This window comes from Homo sapiens, chromosome 6, assembly GCF_000001405.40.
Source record: "Homo sapiens chromosome 6, GRCh38.p14 Primary Assembly".
Lineage (NCBI taxonomy): Eukaryota > Metazoa > Chordata > Mammalia > Primates > Hominidae > Homo > Homo sapiens.
In genome coordinates, this window is record NC_000006.12 from 44,240,057 (window position 1) to 44,258,006 (window position 17,950).

The window sequence follows — 17,950 nt, forward strand, 5'->3', positions numbered from 1 at the left end:
AAAAAAAATTTAACCGAACGACTAGGTTTTTTTTTTTTTCCTCAAGCACATATGGAGCCTTTAGAGATATTAACCACCTTCTAAAGTTTCAAACGAAGTCTCAAATACAGGCCTGGCACAGTGGCTCATGCCTGTCATCACAGCACTTTGGGAGGCCGACGCTGGCAGATCACTTGAGCCCAGGCATTTGAGACCAGTCTGGGTAACATGGCAAAACCCCATCTCTACAAAAAAAATTTAAAAATCAGTCAGGCCTAGTGGCACATGCCTGTAGTTCCAGCTGCTTGGGAGACTGAGGTGGGAGGATCGCTTGAGCCCAGGAGGTTGAGGCTGCAGTGGGCCATCAGCATGCCACTGCACTCCAGCCTGGGCGACAGAGTGAGACTCTGTCTCAAAAAAAAAGAGAAAAAAAAGTCTCAAATACAAAAGAGCCAGTAACATACACACCACATTGTATGTCTACAACATAATTAAAGGGTATATAAAAAATAATTGAAAATGTAAAACACTTTTAAATTGGTCAAAGAAGATACCATAAGAAATCAGAAAATCCTTAAAATTGAATTGTAATAAAATATTGAATATTATTTGAAATTTGTAATCTATGGAAATTTGTGGAATATAGTAAACATAGTACACAAGGAGAAATTTGTAGCCTTAAATCTTTATGTTGGAAAAACAGAAAGGCTGAAACTAATGTGTTAAGTACTAAAGTTAAGAAAATAGAACAATAACAACAGAACTAGGCAAGGCACGGTGGCTTACACTTATAATCCCAGCACTTTGGGAGGCTGAGGCAGGCGGATCACTTGAGGTCAGGAGTTCCAGACCACCCTGGCCAACATGGTGAAACCCTGTCTCTACTAAAAATACAAAAAAATTAGCAGGGTGTGGTGGCGTGCACACGCACCTGTTGTCCCAGCTACTAGGGAGGCTGAGGCAGGAGAATCACTTGAACCCAGGAGGTGGAGGTTGCAGTGAGCCAAGATCGCATCACTGCACTCCAGCCTGGGTGACAGAGCGAGACTCTGTCTCAAAAAAAAATAAAATAAAATAAACAGAAATTAAAGAAGTCAAAAACAAATATATAAATATAAGATAAGCAAACCTTTGGTGAAATTGTACAAGAAAAAAGAGATAAGACATGAAAAACAATTTTAGAAATGAAGACATACTTTATTTTTTAATGTTATTTATTTATTTATTTGAGACAGAGTCTCACTCTGTCACCCAGGCTGGAGTGCAGTGGTGTGATCTTGGCTCACTGCAACCTCCGCCTCCTGGGTTCAAGGGTCCTCCTGCCTCAGCCTCTCTAGTAGCTGGGATTACAGGTGCCTGCCACCACGCCTGGCTAATTTTTGTATTTTTAGTAGAGAAGGGGTTTCACCATTTTGGCCAGGCTGGTCTCAAACTCCTGGCCTCCGCCCACCTTGGCCTCTCAAAGTTCTGGGATTACAGGTGTGAGCCACCTTGCCTGGCAGAAGACGTACTTTAGATAGAAGAGAAATTGAAAAGATCGTAAGAGTCTGGGCATGGTGCCTCACGCCTATAATTCCAGCACTTTGGGAACCCAAGGCAGAAGGACTGCTTGAGCCCAGGAGTTTGAGACCAGCCTGGGCAACAGCACAAGACTCTGTCTCTACAGATAATTATAAAAATTAGCTGGACATGGTGGTGTTTGTTTTTTTTTTTTAATTTATAGCAAGTTAGGAATAAAAAGAGTAAATATGTTCAGCTGGGTGCGGGTGGCTCATGCCTGTATTCCCAGCACTTTGGGAGGCCAAGGTGGGAGGATCACTTGAGCCCAGGAGTTTGGGATGAGACCAGCCTGGGCAACATAGGGAGACCCTGTCTCTACAAAATAAAAAAATTAGCCAGGCATGGTGGTCCCAGTTACTTCGGGGGTTGAACTGGGAGGATCGCCTGAGTCTGGGAGGTTGAGGCTGTAGTGAGCTATGTATTACTGTACTTCAGCCCCCGCAACAGAACAAGACCCTGGACCCTGTCTCAAAAAACAAACAAACAAACAAAAAGTTCAATGGTGAAATGTTAGAAGCTTTCATTTTCTGATTAGGAATCAGACAGGGATGCCCAGAATCATTATTTCCACTCATCATTGTTCTGCAGGTCCTAGCTGGTGCATTAAAACAAGAAATAAGAGATACAAGAATCAGAAGAGGAGAAACCAAACTGTCATTGTTTTCAGATGATATGGTTGTACCTATAAAACACCAAAACTTTTATAGTCAAATTAAGAATTAATAAGCTAGCTTACCAACTTGCTCAATCAATAAACAAAAATTCAATTGCTCAATTGCTTTTTGAACTCTGGGAAACCGAAAATGAACAAAAATTTCCATTTTCTATGGCATCAAAAAAATAACAATACTAACAATACAGTGAGCAAAAATTATGCAAGAGACTTCCCTTGTGTTCTAGTGGAATGTGAAAATGGAGGCAAAGAGATGGAGTCCATGCTGGCTGTGCAGACCTGCCCAATTGTCCAATGCATCTGAATGTCAGGCTCACTAGTATTGGAGGGTGTCAGTTCAGGGTATTCCCTCAGGAATTCAGAGAGCTAAGGCTCGTGGAACTGGGAAGGCCCAGAAAGTAACGGGACACACCTGGCAGGCACTGAGCTTAAGAGGCTGCTTGTTCTAGGGGTTCAGGGTCCACAGCTACTCTCCATGCTCATATCTCTGATGTCCTGTTACCCTCAGTTGTTTTATTCGTTCACTGAGCTTTATTTAACTCCCCTCCGTGGCCTCTGTGAACCCTAGAGACTCTGTCCAGGCTGAGTCTCTGTGCTCCCTGCAAGACTTTGCTGAGCTTTATGTAGCTTAGGGGTCTGCAAACGTTTTCTGTAAAAGGCAAGAGAGTAAATGTCTTAGGGTTTGCAAGCGTTATGGTCTCTGTCACACCTATCGATTTTGACTTTATGTTACAGAAGCAGTCAAAGACAAGGGCTACGTTTCAACAAAACTTCATTAAAATTGGCCAGGCGCAGTGGCTCACGACTGTAATCTCAGCACTTTGGGAGTCTGAGGCGGGCAGATCACCTGAAGTCAGGAGTTCGAAACCAGCCTGGCCGACATGGTGAAACCCGGTCTCTACCAAAAATACAAAAATTAGCCGGGCGTGGTGGCGGGCGCCTGTAATCCCAGCTACCTGGGATGCTCAGGCAGGAAAATCGCTTGAACCCGGGAAGTGGAGGTCGCAGTATGCTGAGATTCTGCCATTGCACCCCAGCCTGGGAGACGAGTGAGACTCCGTCTAAAAAAAAAAAAAAAAAACTTCATGAAAACAGAAATTCAAATTTCATATAATTTTCCCATGTCAAAATAATATCTTTCTTTTGATTTTTTTTTCAACCATTATGAAGTGTAAAAACCCTTCTTAGCCCACAGGCCATTCAAAAAACAAGCAGCAGGCCCACCAGCTGCAGACCTTGGGTTGTTAATCCCTGCTTTAGCTGGCCACCCTCCGACAGCAGAAGGTTGGGCTGGGCCTAGGAGGTTTCATGGAGGAATAAAAGGGATCTGGGGAACATCAGTGGTTCCAAGGCTGGGAATAAGGCTTCGGACGGTGTAGTTTTTTTTTGTTTTGTTTTTGTTTTCTGAGACGGAATCTTGCTCTTATTGCCCAGGCTGGAGTGCAATAGCGCGATCATGGCTCACCGCAACCTCCACCTCCTGGGTTCAAGCGATTCTCCTGCCTCAGCCTCCTGAGTAGCTGGAATTACAGGCATGTGCCACCACACCCAGCTAATTTTGTATTTTTAGTAGAGACGGGGTTTCTCCATGTTGGTCAGGCTGGTCTCAAAACTCCTGACCTCAGGTGATCCGCCCGCCTTGGCCTCCCAAAGGTCTGGGATTACAGGCGTGAGCCACCCGTGCCCAGTCTGGAAGACATAGTTTTAAGCCTGTCTTTTATAACCTTCACTTCTCTCACTCTTAAGATCAGGACTTCTTACCAGTGGCATTTGCAGCCCTCTGCGACCTAACCCCCATCTGCAGGGCTACTTTCAACTCCTTGTGCTTCCCTTTGGGGTTCCTGAGCTATGGTTCCTCTAATGGGGCTCTGTTCCTTTCCATGCTTTCCATGTCATGGCCTGGCTAGGCATGGTCCTAAGACTGCTCCCTTTCCCAAGCTGAGCTGAGGGCCTCTGCGGCTTCTCCCATCCTCCTATGGTTCACACTTGGCTGCTGCAGCCTCCAGTGGGTTAAGGGCTCCCAGTCCTGTGTATGCATCTCTGCATCCCCAGGATCTCCACACAGTGGAGGCTTAGTGAGTGTCAATGAGTGGAAAACGATGGAGCTTGTGGACACAGGTAGGCGGTCTCCTGAAAGGCTTCCTGGAAGAGAAAGTGGAATTTCTTTTTTTTTTTTCTTTTTTGAGACAGAGTCTCACTGTGTCGCTCAGGCTGGAGTGCAGTGGCGTGATCTCGGCTCACGGCAACCTCTGCCGCCCGGGTTCAAGTGATTCTCCTGCTTCAGCCTCCCAAGTAGCGGGGACTATAGGCGCGCTACCACGCCCGGCTAATTTTTGTATTTTTAGTAGAGACAAGGTTTCACCAGAGTGGCCAGGCTGGTCTTGAACTCCTGACCTGGTGATCCGCTGGACTCGGCCTCCCAAAGTGCTGGAATTACAGGCATGAGCCACCGCGCCCAGCCCCCTTTTTTTTTTTTTTTTTTTTTTGAGACGGAGTTTCTCTTTTGTTGCCCAGGCTGGAGTGCAATGGCATGGTCTCAGCTCACTGCAGCCTCTGCCTCCAGAGTTCAAGCAATCTTCCTGCCTCAGCCTCCCAAGTAGCTGGGATTACAGGCATGTGCCACCACGCCCAGCTAATTTTTAGTAGAGACGAGGTTTTTCACCATGTTGGCCAGGCTGGTTGTGAACTACTGACCTCGGGTGATCCACCCACCTCGGCCTTCCAAAGTGCTGGGATTACAGGTATGAGCCACTGTGCCCAGCAGAGAAAGTGGAATTTCTATGCTGGTGTAACATTTGAGATTTTCCCATTTAGAAAGTCTTCAGGAAGCCGTCGAGTCTTGACACAGAAAGGATCCAGCTCAGGGGAAGCCCATCCACAGGAGTGATTCCTGCTTTGGATTTAGGTCCTAGGGGTGAGATCACATCCCTGCTCCATTTCTGGAGCAGAAAGGGAGCTAGTGCAGCAAGGACTCTGAGTAGACGGGCCTTGGGAGTCACTGAAGCCACTTCCCTGTTGACAGAATGTGCACACTGACTTTCATCCGCTCACAGGAGAGTGAGAGTTTGTGAATGCTCTCTGTGAACTGGGGAGCAGATTTTTAATGAGCTCTGCTTAGAAGGAGAGGACACGTTAAGGGATCACGCTCCCACTGGTTTGCGGTTTTGGTCAGGAATAGAGCACCCAACGCCCCTTCTTATAGACTTCTCCCAGCCATAGGCTTTTTGCAGACCATAATGAAAGGGAGAAAGGATATCCAATCGGGATGGTGATGGCAGGCATGGCGAAGTGGACAGGGACAAAGAAGAGGAAAGCAAGGGACACCCTTTGTTCTTTGGTATTCAACACATGAACAAAACTTGTTAACGAATCGTAGACTGGGTAACAACAGGGCTGGTGAGGGAGGACGATGTGGGTGGCTGTGGGGAAACTCTTCCCAAGCATCCCAGGGGTGGGCCAGGAAGGGGAGCAGATGGACATCTACAGGGCACAGAGCAGGGAGTGGCTATTCTCTCCTGGAGGGGTTGTGGGTCCAGCAGGCTTTCGGATGAGGCCTTGGAAAGGCAAGGACAGCTTGCCAACTGGAGGGCAGGCAAAACGGCTGAGCCAGGCCAGACACGGCAGCTCACTGGCCAGGGGCATGGCCTAGGGGCTCTGGTGCCAAGGCTGAAGGGGAACAACTTGGCCAGCCGCTCTGTGGCCGGCATCGTCACGCGGCCTCCAAGAGCTCCGGCTGCCCTGCACTGGTTCCCAGAGACTCCCTCCTTCCCAGGTCCAAATGGCTGCAGGAGCGAAGTGGGCGGAAAAAAAGCGAACCAGCTTGAGAAAGGGCTTGACGTGCCTGCGTAGGGAGGGCGCATGTCCCCGTGCTCCGTGTACGTGGCGGCCGCAGGGGCTAGAGGGGGGTCCCCCCCGCAGGTACTCCACTCTCAGTCTGCAAAAGTGTACGCCCGCAGAGCCGCCCCAGGTGCCTGGGTGTTGTGTGATTGACGCGGGGAAGGAGGGGTCAGCCGATCCCTCCCCAACCCTCCATCCCATCCCTGAGGATTGGGCTGGTACCCGCGTCTCTCGGACAGGTCAGAGCGGGTCGCCGGGTGGGGTCGCTGCAAAAACCCTGCCCCGGCCGCAGCCGGAGAGGCGGAGCCTCGCGGGGAGGGGGCGGGACCGCCGAGACAGGCCTGGAAACTGCTGGAAATGCCGCAGTGCCGCCGCCGCGCCTTCCGCCGCATGTCGGCAAAGAGTCCCCGCCAGCCCCGGCCGGCGCCCTCCCCCTACGCTGAGCTGCCCCTCAGCGCGAACCCTCCGCCCTTCCTCTACTCCTGCGAGAGTCGGGATCTGGGGCTACCCAAGGTTGGGTCCCGAATGCCAGTCCCTCTGTCGGGACGCGAGATGTGTAGGGCAGATGCTAGGAAGAAGATTGGGTCTGGGAGCGGTGGTCCGCGTGGTTAGCTGCCTCCGCTCTTTTTCGGTGTCCCCCCCAGTCCCGCCCTTGGGTGTGGGGACGCCTGCCCCACAAGTGTTTAGGGAGGTCAGTGGGTTCCTCGCCCGTAGAGACACCGTTTATGCCAAATGAGCACTCCTCATCCCCGCTCTTGATGGAGTCATGTCCTAGACGTGAAACTATGGGGCTGTGATCACAAGCAAATGTGTGGGCGGATCCGTTGCTTGGGTTCTTCCCCGCCCCCTCTTTTTTTCGGACCATGACGTCAAGGTGGGCTGGTGGCGGCAGGTGCGGGGTTGACAATCATACTCCTTTAAGGCGGAGGGATCTACAGGAGGGCGGCTGTACTGTGCTTCGCCTTATATAGGGCGACTTGGGGCACGCAGTAGCTCTCTCGAGTCACTCCGGCGCAGTGTTGGGACTGTCTGGGTATCGGAAAGCAAGCCTACGTTGCTCACTATTACGTATAATCCTTTTCTTTTCAAGGTAAGGCTGAGATCTCCGCTAGGCTTCTTTCCCTTTAGTGCTGTATTCGTGTTGTTTTTGTTTTTTTCTGTCCTTTAGGGAGCCTTAGTCTAGATGTCGGGGTGGCTTGTGGATAACGCTCTGGATTTTTATAGGGTGAGGGTAGTGGTGGGTGAGGTTTTTTGAGTCCTCCTCGGTTTTCTCTAGTGTGTTTGGGGGGTGGGGCTTTCTCTCGGCGCCTGCTGGCCGTAGCGAGGTGGGCTGTGGGGTTGGGGCAGTGGGCGGCTGGCAGCTGCACGTGGTGGCCGCGCGGCCCGGGACGCTGCCATTTTTGCCCCTCCACTTCCGGACGCGGCTACGGGGCGTCGGAGGGGGACCGCAGGGTGGCGGGGGTGCCCGCTCGGGTGACTCAGCACGGCCTTGTGGGACTGGCTTTGTCACCTCTCTTATCGGACGCGTTGTTAAAGCCTTCTTGGGTGCTTTGTTTCTGTGAGGGAGGGTTGACGGTGTGGGAAGAGAGCTTTCGGTCTCCAGCACCCGATACTCCCTCCTTCCAGATCTTTCTTGCAGTCCCGGTGGAGGAGGGGCGGGGAGGGGAGCAGGTTCTGGAAGATTCATGGGCTCCTTCCTCCGCCCTTCCTCGAGAGCTGAGATTGTTCTGGAAGCTTCTGGATTCTGGCGCCCCGCCCCAGTGCCCGGATGCTGGGGCGAGGGAGGGTGCACTGCGGCGCCCCCTCCTCGCGTGGTCCTGGCCGACGCATGTCCGGCAGTGACGAGTGTCGGCCTGGTGGCTACGGCCACCATCTTTCTTGGGTTTGGTCCTGTTCTGTAATTTTGTGCTGTGAAAGGGTCGTGGTGGAGCTTTTGGCTTAAGAATTCTTTGTCCGGATTTAATTGCTCCTCCGGTGGGTATCGTATGGATCCCAGGTTATTCCTCCCTGCCCTATGGGGCAGGAGTGTCCCGCCCTTGGACTGGTCTTAGGAACTGACACCTCAGGGGGAGCAGTTTAAAGTTAGTGCCATTTTTATCTTAAACTAGTCACTTTGATCTCCCCCAAATAAAGAACTGTAGGTAGTGATTTTCACATTTAAATTTGTGTAAGGATTACTTGGGATCTCTAGATACCTGGGTTGGACCAACATTATGATTTTTCTGCCATACTACCAGATGATGCTGAGGCTGCTGGTCACCATTCTTTAAGTAGGTGGGTTCTGTGACATTTGGTTGAAGAATATTTAGCTTATTTTCTTTTTCCTTCTGAATTTTCAGGCCTCCCACTTAGTGTGTAGTCTGAGATCTTTAAGAGAATGCATTTTTAGTCTTGGGAAGGGATAGTACTCCGGTTAAACCAGTCTGAACTCACTGTCTAAGGTCCTAACAAATGATATGACCTTTAGGATTTTTAAACATGGGGCCTTAGTGTTCTTTTGTAATTAATGAGATTTTTATTTTAGATGCCTGAGGAAGTGCACCATGGAGAGGAGGAGGTGGAGACTTTTGCCTTTCAGGCAGAAATTGCCCAACTCATGTCCCTCATCATCAATACCTTCTATTCCAACAAGGAGATTTTCCTTCGGGAGTTGATCTCTAATGCTTCTGATGTAGGTGCTCTGGTTTCCACATTTGGCATGGTTTTTTTTTTTGATACTCTAGAAGGAGGGGAAAGGAGTGGTTTGGCCTTTGTTGGGGACTACTATTGAAGGGGGTAAACTTGCAGCTATTCCAAAAAGATGGGTTTTACTCTGGCCATCTTGAACTTGGAAGGGACTATGTCCAGAATAAGTGGGCTCATGGAACTAACTGGTTCTAAAGCCTCAAGATAGGGGGCAATCAGATTTGAGGCTGAGAGAGGTAAACCAAGATTTTCTTTGAAGATACGGGCTTTAAGAAAGCAAAAGTGGCTGAGCGTGTTGGCTCACACCTGTAATGCCAAGGCAGGAGGATCACTTGAGCCTAGGATTTCGAGGGCAGCCTGGGCAACCGCGAGACCTTGTCTCTGCAAAAAATTAAATATTAGTTGGGCACGGTGGCATGTGCCTGTAGTCCCAGCTACTTGGGAAGCTGGGGTTGGGAGGATGGCTCGAACCTGGGAGGTCAAGGCTGCAGTGAGCTGTCATCCTTGCCACTGCACTGTAGCTTGGGCAACAGAGCAAGAGTCTGTCTTGGAAAGAGCAAAAGTAAGTTGCTGTTTGTATTTCCAGGCCTTGGACAAGATTCGCTATGAGAGCCTGACAGACCCTTCGAAGTTGGACAGTGGTAAAGAGCTGAAAATTGACATCATCCCCAACCCTCAGGAACGTACCCTGACTTTGGTAGACACAGGCATTGGCATGACCAAAGCTGATCTCATAAATAATTTGGGAACCATTGCCAAGTCTGGTACTAAAGCATTCATGGAGGCTCTTCAGGTATTGCAGTTCTGTAGGCATTCATACTTATCTGTGTTCTTTGGTTTTTTGCTTCTTTAAAACTTGTGATTGACTTTAAACTTGTTGGCAGGCTGGTGCAGACATCTCCATGATTGGGCAGTTTGGTGTTGGCTTTTATTCTGCCTACTTGGTGGCAGAGAAAGTGGTTGTGATCACAAAGCACAACGATGATGAACAGTATGCTTGGGAGTCTTCTGCTGGAGGTTCCTTCACTGTGCGTGCTGACCATGGTAAGTTAGCTTTTCTGTTACAAGGTAGTTGGGTTAGGATTTTCTGGGCTCACACCAGTAGCAGAAATTTTGGGCATCCTGTCTGTAAAGCAGTTCTTCACAGCAGTTCTGCTGATACTTACTAATTGCTGGTCTCAACTGCATATACTTTTTACCCTGTTACACGCTTGTAATTGACTCTTCTAGGTGAGCCCATTGGCAGGGGTACCAAAGTGATCCTCCATCTTAAAGAAGATCAGACAGAGTACCTAGAAGAGAGGCGGGTCAAAGAAGTAGTGAAGAAGCATTCTCAGTTCATAGGCTATCCCATCACCCTTTATGTGAGTATGGACTTTTAAATCTTTTACACTTAACGTGCAGGATGTTTCCTGTTCTGGAGAATCTCATTGTCCCTGGCTTTTGCTTTCCCTGGTAGTGTTTTGTACTCCAAGGCTAACTTCTGTTTTTGTTACTTAGTTGGAGAAGGAACGAGAGAAGGAAATTAGTGATGATGAGGCAGAGGAAGAGAAAGGTGAGAAAGAAGAGGAAGATAAAGATGATGAAGAAAAACCCAAGATCGAAGATGTGGGTTCAGATGAGGAGGATGACAGCGGTAAGGATAAGAAGAAGAAAACTAAGAAGATCAAAGAGAAATACATTGATCAGGAAGAACTAAACAAGACCAAGCCTATTTGGACCAGAAACCCTGATGACATCACCCAAGAGGAGTATGGAGAATTCTACAAGAGCCTCACTAATGACTGGGAAGACCACTTGGCAGTCAAGGTGTGAGAAGCCTTTGCATGTTGGCTCAACATGCACATATGGAGAGGAATGAGTTAGGTGGAAGAGTGTTGGGTAATAGACACACGGAACTTGTCCAACTGATAACAGAAATGTGATAGCCATGTGATTTCACTTACTGATTACCCTGTCATAGTGAAGTGCCATCATTTCTAATGACCTCACTTTCTCTTCTTATGGAAATCTGGGTAATGTCTATTGGCAGCCTTACACATCCAGGGTTCTGATCAGAGGGGACTGTTTTCTACATACAGCTAGTACCCATCTAGATCGTGGAGGGCATTAAGGCTCAGTTTTCTCAGGAGCTGCTTGTTGTGTGTGCTCTATCCCTTAGGCTTAGGGAGGATCATTGTTCCACTTTTAGATAATTTGGTGTTGGGGCTAAAAGGTCCTCTTTTGAAATGTACCACTTATTTTTGGTTTCTTTCAGCACTTTTCTGTAGAAGGTCAGTTGGAATTCAGGGCATTGCTATTTATTCCTCGTCGGGCTCCCTTTGACCTTTTTGAGAACAAGAAGAAAAAGAACAACATCAAACTCTATGTCCGCCGTGTGTTCATCATGGACAGCTGTGATGAGTTGATACCAGAGTATCTCAGTGAGTATCTCCTTGGCCTAATTTAGTTGGGTGAAGTCTTGGGAGGTTTTAGGCATTCTGCTAGGATATTCTAAGGTAACAGTTTTCTGCAATACATAGTAGGTGTAAGGGTTCAGGAGGCTATTAGAGCCTTCTGTTTGAATCTGGGGACCAGGTCTGGTCTAGCTGTTTTTTACTGAGCTTTCTCACCCTGGTTGATGGCAGATTTTATCCGTGGTGTGGTTGACTCTGAGGATCTGCCCCTGAACATCTCCCGAGAAATGCTCCAGCAGAGCAAAATCTTGAAAGTCATTCGCAAAAACATTGTTAAGAAGTGCCTTGAGCTCTTCTCTGAGCTGGCAGAAGACAAGGAGAATTACAAGAAATTCTATGAGGCATTCTCTAAAAATCTCAAGGTAAAAAGGCAAATAATGCTTATTCCCTTTACCACTTTCTTAGTAATAACAATAAATTATTCCATTCACATTGAAAGTGAAGTTATTGTAGTTAAGCTGGATTGTTTTTCCTCTTCCCACCCTTCAAGCTTGGAATCCACGAAGACTCCACTAACCGCCGCCGCCTGTCTGAGCTGCTGCGCTATCATACCTCCCAGTCTGGAGATGAGATGACATCTCTGTCAGAGTATGTTTCTCGCATGAAGGAGACACAGAAGTCCATCTATTACATCACTGGTGCGTTGACTCTGATTGAAGCCTTTTTGGAGGAGTGGGGAGCACAATTAGGGCTTCCTGGGAACTGGCAGTATGAGGCATTTTAGTCACTGAGTTCATTTAATTACCCTACAGGTGAGAGCAAAGAGCAGGTGGCCAACTCAGCTTTTGTGGAGCGAGTGCGGAAACGGGGCTTCGAGGTGGTATATATGACCGAGCCCATTGACGAGTACTGTGTGCAGCAGCTCAAGGAATTTGATGGGAAGAGCCTGGTCTCAGTTACCAAGGAGGGTCTGGAGCTGCCTGAGGATGAGGAGGAGAAGAAGAAGATGGAAGAGAGCAAGGCAAAGTTTGAGAACCTCTGCAAGCTCATGAAAGAAATCTTAGATAAGAAGGTTGAGAAGGTAAGCCATTCTGGGGCTAGGATATATTTTGTAACATCTTCGAGGTGGGCTCCCTCACAAGCATGTTTCTATACAATTAGTGGTTTGAGGCAGCCTATTTACTGTTTCATGCCTTCTTGCCTCTTGTTCTCTTCTCTAGTCAGGTTTAAGGCTATTTTAATAAAATTTGGCACAGATTAGGCATTGCTTCAGTTAACTTCTGAGAGTAGATAAAATACCATCATTTTCTTTTTTTTTTCTTTTTTTGAGATGGGGTCTCGCTCTGTCACCCAGGCTGGAGTGCAGTGGCACGATCTCTGCTCATTGCAAGCTCCGCCTCCTGGGTTCACGCCATTCTCCTGCCTTAGCCTCCTGAGTAGCTGCCACTACAGGCGCCCGCCACCACACCCCGGCTAATTTTTTGTATTTTTAGTAGAGATGGGGTTTCATCGCGTTAGCCAGGATGGTCTCCATCTCCTGACCTTGTGATTCGCCCACCTCGGCCTCCCAAAGTGCTGGGATTAACAGGCGCAAGCCACCATGCCTGGCCGATTTTTTTTTTTTTTGGACTGGATCTCGCTCACTGCAAACTCAAGTCTCCTGAGTGGCTGGGATTACAGATGTGTGCTACCACACCCGGTTAATTTTTTGTAGACAGGGTTTTGCCATGTTGGCCAGCATGGTCTCAAACTCAAGTGGTCTGTCCACCTCCTCCCCCTGCTGGAATTAGGCTTGACAATGCCTGTTTTCTCTTTCAAAGTGGTAATGTCAATCTAAGGCTTTTGTGATCGTCCACAGGTGACAATCTCCAATAGACTTGTGTCTTCACCTTGCTGCATTGTGACCAGCACCTACGGCTGGACAGCCAATATGGAGCGGATCATGAAAGCCCAGGCACTTCGGGACAACTCCACCATGGGCTATATGATGGCCAAAAAGCACCTGGAGATCAACCCTGACCACCCCATTGTGGAGACGCTGCGGCAGAAGGCTGAGGCCGACAAGAATGATAAGGCAGTTAAGGACCTGGTGGTGCTGCTGTTTGAAACCGCCCTGCTATCTTCTGGCTTTTCCCTTGAGGATCCCCAGACCCACTCCAACCGCATCTATCGCATGATCAAGCTAGGTCTAGGTAAGTAGCTTTGGTACTTGGTGTGGCAAGGAGTTTGTGCAACTCGTCTCCTCTATGGATTTGACTTAATGCTATTTGGTCAAGTCTCACATGGCTTAATTTTACTTCAGGTATTGATGAAGATGAAGTGGCAGCAGAGGAACCCAATGCTGCAGTTCCTGATGAGATCCCCCCTCTCGAGGGCGATGAGGATGCGTCTCGCATGGAAGAAGTCGATTAGGTTAGGAGTTCATAGTTGGAAAACTTGTGCCCTTGTATAGTGTCCCCATGGGCTCCCACTGCAGCCTCGAGTGCCCCTGTCCCACCTGGCTCCCCCTGCTGGTGTCTAGTGTTTTTTTCCCTCTCCTGTCCTTGTGTTGAAGGCAGTAAACTAAGGGTGTCAAGCCCCATTCCCTCTCTACTCTTGACAGCAGGATTGGATGTTGTGTATTGTGGTTTATTTTATTTTCTTCATTTTGTTCTGAAATTAAAGTATGCAAAATAAAGAATATGCCGTTTTTATACAGTTCTGCTTTCCCTTGTGAAGTGGATGTTATCCTTCCCTAGCTTCTTCATCCCTCCAGCTCTTGCTGTTTTCATGAGCACAGCAAGTTGAGCTGGTTTTGTAGTGAAAATAACAGAATACCAGTGAGTCTTAAGAGTTCACACACTGAAGCTAAAGGCAGTTTGGAAAAACTACCATATAATAATGCCCTTTCAGTCAACCAAAACACAGGACCAAGTCCACTGCAGTAATTTAATTTAATAAAATAAAATTATAAGAGCAAAAAGTTACATTTCTAAAGTACCAAAACCTGCAACAGGCTCATGGAACAGAGCCTAGGGATCCAGGAGCATAGGAGGTGGTGGTGCTGGGCAGGGCTCTGCATCCCCTTTCCTCAGCACAGCACCATCTTCACCCTCCTGGGAAAGCAGCATTGGAGCCTACACCGCTTGTGCTTTTCTCACCAGGGTAAGAAATGCAGGTATTTGCAGAGGGGAGTGAGTCTGGAAGGTGGCAGAGCACAGCTAGGGCAAGACTTAAGGGAACTTGTGGGAAGAGTAACTGGAACCTACCTATGCTCTCTTGACCCCAAACTCCCCAAAACCCCTCACTGAGGACTGTCTACCCCCGGGGCTCAGAATAAACTGCTTACTGGAAGATGGGTGACTTAAGGCAAAAGGGAAGGCTGCCTCCTGGGCTCCCCAATCCCCTGCTGCAGAGCTGGTCTGTGATACTGAGAAAACACCTGCATTTTGCCCTTTCAGCCAGCTCCCTCAGAGGTTACAGCAGAAGGGGATGGTGGGAGGGTCCTATTTCACTTCACCCCTCAGGCCCTTTCCACCCTCAAACCTTCTGCACAGGAGACTCAACAGGCACAGCCTTCTTTCCCCGTTGCTTTAGACGGCCCCGCGCGTAGACTCTGAGCAGGAGGGCAGCAAAGACCACAGCCACCCCCAGCCCTCCCACCACAGTGACAGTGTGGCCATAGAGAAGGCAGGAAAGAAGGATGGCAAAGGCCTGGCGGAGGGTCATGATGATGGTGAAGACGGCAGCCCCAAACTGCCCAATGGTGTAAAAGATGAAGAGCTGGCCACATGCGGAGCAGATGGAGAGTAGCAGGGCATGGGCAGCAAACTCACTGTGTCGCCCCATGAAGCGGGTTCCCTCCAGTAGGGCCCCCTGTTCTAGCAGTGAGCCCACTGTGAAGAGGCAGGAGAAGAAATTGACCCCAAACATCATCTGCACCGATGACATCTTATAGGCAAACAGGGCATCCTGCCAGTTTGAGGTGAAGCTGTCAAAAGCAATATAACCTGCCAGTAAGATGAGGCCTGAGAGTGTGGTGGCTGGGGAGCTGCGGGGCTCTGGTCCGCTGGATAGCAGAAACATGCTGACCCCAATGGAGATGAGGGTGGCTGTCAGGTACTCCCAGTGTTCGTAGCTGCGCCGAGACACAAGCTTTCCCATCAGCATGACAGGGATCACCTTAGAGGCCTTGGCCAGCACCTGGGTGGGGAAGCTGACGAACTTAAGAGCTTCGTATTGGCACCAGCTGCTAAGCACATTGGACAGGCTGGCAAAGGAGTACCGGTACATGGGTGCCCCATGCCGGGGCTGCTTGCAGAGAACACAGGAGAGGCCAGCCACAATCAGTGCCAGCACTCGGTTCATTAGCACCAGGAACTGCGAGTCCGTAAAGCGCTCACCCGGTGATGTGGCTGTGGCCCCATAGCTGCGGGTCATCACTCTTTCCTGCAGCACACCCCAAGTCAGATAAGACACCTGTTGGGGAAGGTAGAGACAAAGGAGACAATAAGCAAGATAATGAAAAGGTAGACAAAAATTGACCTCTCTCTCTTCAGGATTATGCCTAAGTGATTCAAAGGAAAATATACACTTTTTGGTTCCTCTGTAGAAGTTTCTTCTCCCCTCCTAAGTCTGGATTCACCTTGTAGGGAATCAACTGTGTGTGAAAAACCTATTCAGGGAGGCAAGAACTCTCAGAATTGGGTATCTGTAGTTCAACATGATATTCAAGGTGGAACTAGTACCCACTGCAAAATGCCATGGGGTCAGCATGTTAGCACTCTCTCACATGCAGTACTGGGGGAAGGCTGAATGGCTCCCCCACAATTTTATCAGTGGGTTTACAGTATGTGAGACACCAGTGCAGGAAGGAAGTATAATAACGGCACAGTAGAAATCACAGAGAATAGGGCAAGAGGAGTCCTCTCTTCTGCACTAGACATCTTGAAATAACAGCATGAACTTTCAGTACCAGTGCTGGAGAGGAGAAAAGGAAGAAACAAAAGGGCATTTCCCCCAAACACCTCAAAGATGGAGGTGCAGTGTGCCCCTGGGAGGAGGACACGAAACACACCAGCCAGCAAAGCTCTGGGACTGGTAAAATGGAAACCTTCACAGAATCCCTGCCCACCGGCATCCAACCCAGGAAGAGAGGCTGAGCCCACCTACCCACCTGGAGCCCTGTGGCACAGAAGAGCAGCTTCAGGGCCTGCCACATCGGGGTGGTCTCTGCCGCCTCTGTTCGGGGCGCCAGGGGAACCTCATCAGAGGCCTTGGGCTCATTGCCAAACACACAAGCTTTCACCAGGGGAAAGCAGAGGCCCCTACCTGAAGAAAGCACACAAAGTCAAGCCCCAAATCTTCTCCATAGCACTTCATCTTCCCCAGAGCAGCCAGCCTGCCCTGCTGTCCGGCCTACCGACCTCCCGCCCTCTCCAAGTCATATCCCGTTTGGACTGCTGGCCAAATACCCTCTTTCCCGACCTAGCTCACTTCCCCGCCCTTTCTTCACACACCGGTCTCCAGGTAGTTCTTCCGCCTGAAGTACTGCACCAGGAGGTAGCCAGGTACCATAAAGCTGGCATAGCCAGCAGCATTCACCACAAATCGGAAGAACCATAGCTGGGTCCATGACTCCGGAGGGGCTTCGGGAGTCTCCCCACCTGCCCCTAGGGAGGGGAACGCAGCCAGCACCACCACTGCCCACCATCTGTAAGGAAAGCGGACATAAGGATTAGGGCGCAGCTCCTCATCCCCTCCGCCCTCCAGAGGGGACCACACTGGAGTAGTGCCCGGAGTCTCCTCCCCGCCCCCTCCGCTGCAGCTCCGGCCCGGACAAAGAGCCTCTCTCTCTCTCTCTCTCTCGGGGAGGGGGTGCGCCGGCGCTGGCCAGGCAGAGCTTCCTCCCTCCCCGGGGGCGGATCCGCCCCTCTGGCCACACAGGTCTCCTCTGTTCCCTCCAACGCTAGCCGGCTGCTCAGGTCAGAGGAAGCGCCCCTTCCCCCACACTCCCCTCCACGATCCGGGACGTCAGGGTCCCCAGCCCCTCCGCCCGAAGCTCCCCAAGGAGCACAAAACCAAGCCGCAGCTCCCATCCCCGCTGGCTCCGGGCAGCGATATGCTGGCCGACGGCCGAGCAGCCGGGACCCCACCCGGCCCCCGTGCTGAGGCGCGGCAGTCACGTGGCCCGGGGGCTCGGTCACGTGAGCTCGCTGCTGCCCTAGCCCCCACCTGGCGTCCATGGTCCAGGCCGCGTGGGGTGGAGGGGGAACCGGGGAATGCGAGTCCCCGGGCCGCGCGCCCCCTGCGCTCCCGCCGCCGCCTCCAGGAGCGGCCAGCGAGCCAGCGGCCAGCGGAAGTGCCGCGCTCTTCCCGCCTCCCTCCCCGCGGCCCCCTCCGCCCCTGCCGCGACCACGCAGCGCCCCGGGCCGCCGCCGGACCACAGCGCCCCCGCGCGGCCCGGAGGCAGACGCGGCTTGGGTTCCGGGGACCTGGGCTGCCCCTGGGCGCGGGGAGCCCCAGCCCTGAAGAGGCGCCCGCCCGGCGTGTCCCCTGTGCTTCGTCATCGCCCTTCATAAGCGTCCCAGAGGTCATGGTGACCATTGCCATCTTGTGGACAGGACATTGAGGCTCTGCATCCCAAGCCGCTCCTCTGTGTTAGTTTCCCCGTTTTCTGACAGGATGAAGGTGTCTCCTTGCTTTGTTGGCTGGGTAGTAATTCTGTCCCACTTCCCATGATCTTCGAGGCTCTACATGGCCTCGCCCGCGTTCCTCGCCCACTCACTCGCCCGCTGTGAAGCCCCACTGGCTTGCTCTCAGTTCCTCTAATTCACAGGCT

At 50.5% G+C, this 17,950-nt stretch overlaps 2 protein-coding genes and 1 non-coding gene across 16 annotated transcripts, besides 7 other annotated features; 1 reads left to right on the top strand and 2 right to left on the bottom strand.

Annotated features, from left to right (window-relative positions):
• Nucleotides 5,347-6,101: an enhancer, noted in NCBI's record as "H3K27ac-H3K4me1 hESC enhancer chr6:44213140-44213894 (GRCh37/hg19 assembly coordinates)". NCBI's record gives its function as "activates a minimal SCP1, AML or CMV promoter by ChIP-STARR-seq in naive H9 embryonic stem cells {active_cell/tissue: H9 hESC(naive)}" and the evidence as "EXISTENCE:reporter gene assay evidence [ECO:0000049][PMID:30033119]".
• Nucleotides 6,138-13,827, top strand: HSP90AB1 (heat shock protein 90 alpha family class B member 1). Of its 6 annotated transcripts, none has more exons than NM_001271970.2 (12): nucleotides 6,138-6,288; nucleotides 8,574-8,720; nucleotides 9,321-9,527; nucleotides 9,619-9,778; nucleotides 9,965-10,098; nucleotides 10,235-10,543; nucleotides 10,992-11,157; nucleotides 11,362-11,552; nucleotides 11,681-11,828; nucleotides 11,943-12,211; nucleotides 12,989-13,322; nucleotides 13,433-13,827. In NM_001271970.2, exons 2-12 carry the CDS (start codon nucleotides 8,574-8,576, stop codon nucleotides 13,540-13,542), a joined length of 2,175 nt encoding a protein of 724 aa, NP_001258899.1. In that variant the 5' UTR covers nucleotides 6,138-6,288; the 3' UTR covers nucleotides 13,543-13,827. The 6 variants fall into 6 exon arrangements, with proteins under 6 accessions (NP_001258899.1, NP_001258898.1, NP_031381.2 ...); NM_001271969.2 differs by lacking the exon at nucleotides 6,138-6,288 and adding an exon at nucleotides 7,045-7,139 and having other exon boundaries at nucleotides 8,561-8,720; NM_007355.4 differs by lacking the exon at nucleotides 6,138-6,288 and adding an exon at nucleotides 7,045-7,139.
• Nucleotides 6,305-6,544: a silencer, noted in NCBI's record as "silent region_17260". NCBI's record gives its function as "represses an Ori minimal core promoter by ATAC-STARR-seq in GM12878 lymphoblastoid cells {active_cell/tissue: GM12878}" and the evidence as "EXISTENCE:reporter gene assay evidence [ECO:0000049][PMID:35858748]".
• Nucleotides 6,856-7,610: an enhancer, noted in NCBI's record as "NANOG-H3K27ac-H3K4me1 hESC enhancer chr6:44214649-44215403 (GRCh37/hg19 assembly coordinates)". NCBI's record gives its function as "activates a minimal SCP1, AML or CMV promoter by ChIP-STARR-seq in primed H9 embryonic stem cells {active_cell/tissue: H9 hESC(primed)}" and the evidence as "EXISTENCE:reporter gene assay evidence [ECO:0000049][PMID:30033119]".
• Nucleotides 8,095-8,144: an enhancer, noted in NCBI's record as "active region_24632". NCBI's record gives its function as "activates an Ori minimal core promoter by ATAC-STARR-seq in GM12878 lymphoblastoid cells {active_cell/tissue: GM12878}" and the evidence as "EXISTENCE:reporter gene assay evidence [ECO:0000049][PMID:35858748]".
• SLC35B2 (solute carrier family 35 member B2) lies at nucleotides 14,045-17,834 on the bottom strand. 9 transcript variants are annotated; one of them, NM_001286511.2, is made up of 4 exons: nucleotides 17,713-17,834; nucleotides 16,629-16,822; nucleotides 16,286-16,440; nucleotides 14,045-15,588 (listed from the first exon to the last, which is right to left on the bottom strand). In NM_001286511.2, exons 2-4 carry the CDS (start codon nucleotides 16,684-16,686, stop codon nucleotides 14,650-14,652), a joined length of 1,152 nt encoding a protein of 383 aa, NP_001273440.1. In that variant the 5' UTR covers nucleotides 16,687-16,822; nucleotides 17,713-17,834; the 3' UTR covers nucleotides 14,045-14,649. The 9 variants fall into 9 exon arrangements, with proteins under 9 accessions (NP_001273440.1, NP_001273438.1, NP_835361.1 ...); NM_001286509.2 differs by lacking the exon at nucleotides 17,713-17,834 and adding an exon at nucleotides 17,344-17,472 and having other exon boundaries at nucleotides 16,286-16,436; NM_178148.4 differs by lacking the exon at nucleotides 17,713-17,834 and adding an exon at nucleotides 17,344-17,472.
• Nucleotides 14,150-14,229, bottom strand: MIR4647 (microRNA 4647). The gene has a single exon (NR_039790.1). It is a non-coding gene; the product is annotated as a microRNA 4647 (primary transcript).
• Nucleotides 14,916-15,631: an enhancer, noted in NCBI's record as "H3K4me1 hESC enhancer chr6:44222709-44223424 (GRCh37/hg19 assembly coordinates)". NCBI's record gives its function as "activates a minimal SCP1, AML or CMV promoter by ChIP-STARR-seq in naive H9 embryonic stem cells {active_cell/tissue: H9 hESC(naive)}" and the evidence as "EXISTENCE:reporter gene assay evidence [ECO:0000049][PMID:30033119]".
• Nucleotides 17,061-17,774: an enhancer, noted in NCBI's record as "H3K27ac hESC enhancer chr6:44224854-44225567 (GRCh37/hg19 assembly coordinates)". NCBI's record gives its function as "activates a minimal SCP1, AML or CMV promoter by ChIP-STARR-seq in naive H9 embryonic stem cells {active_cell/tissue: H9 hESC(naive)}" and the evidence as "EXISTENCE:reporter gene assay evidence [ECO:0000049][PMID:30033119]".
• Nucleotides 17,151-17,690: a silencer, noted in NCBI's record as "silent region_17261". NCBI's record gives its function as "represses an Ori minimal core promoter by ATAC-STARR-seq in GM12878 lymphoblastoid cells {active_cell/tissue: GM12878}" and the evidence as "EXISTENCE:reporter gene assay evidence [ECO:0000049][PMID:35858748]".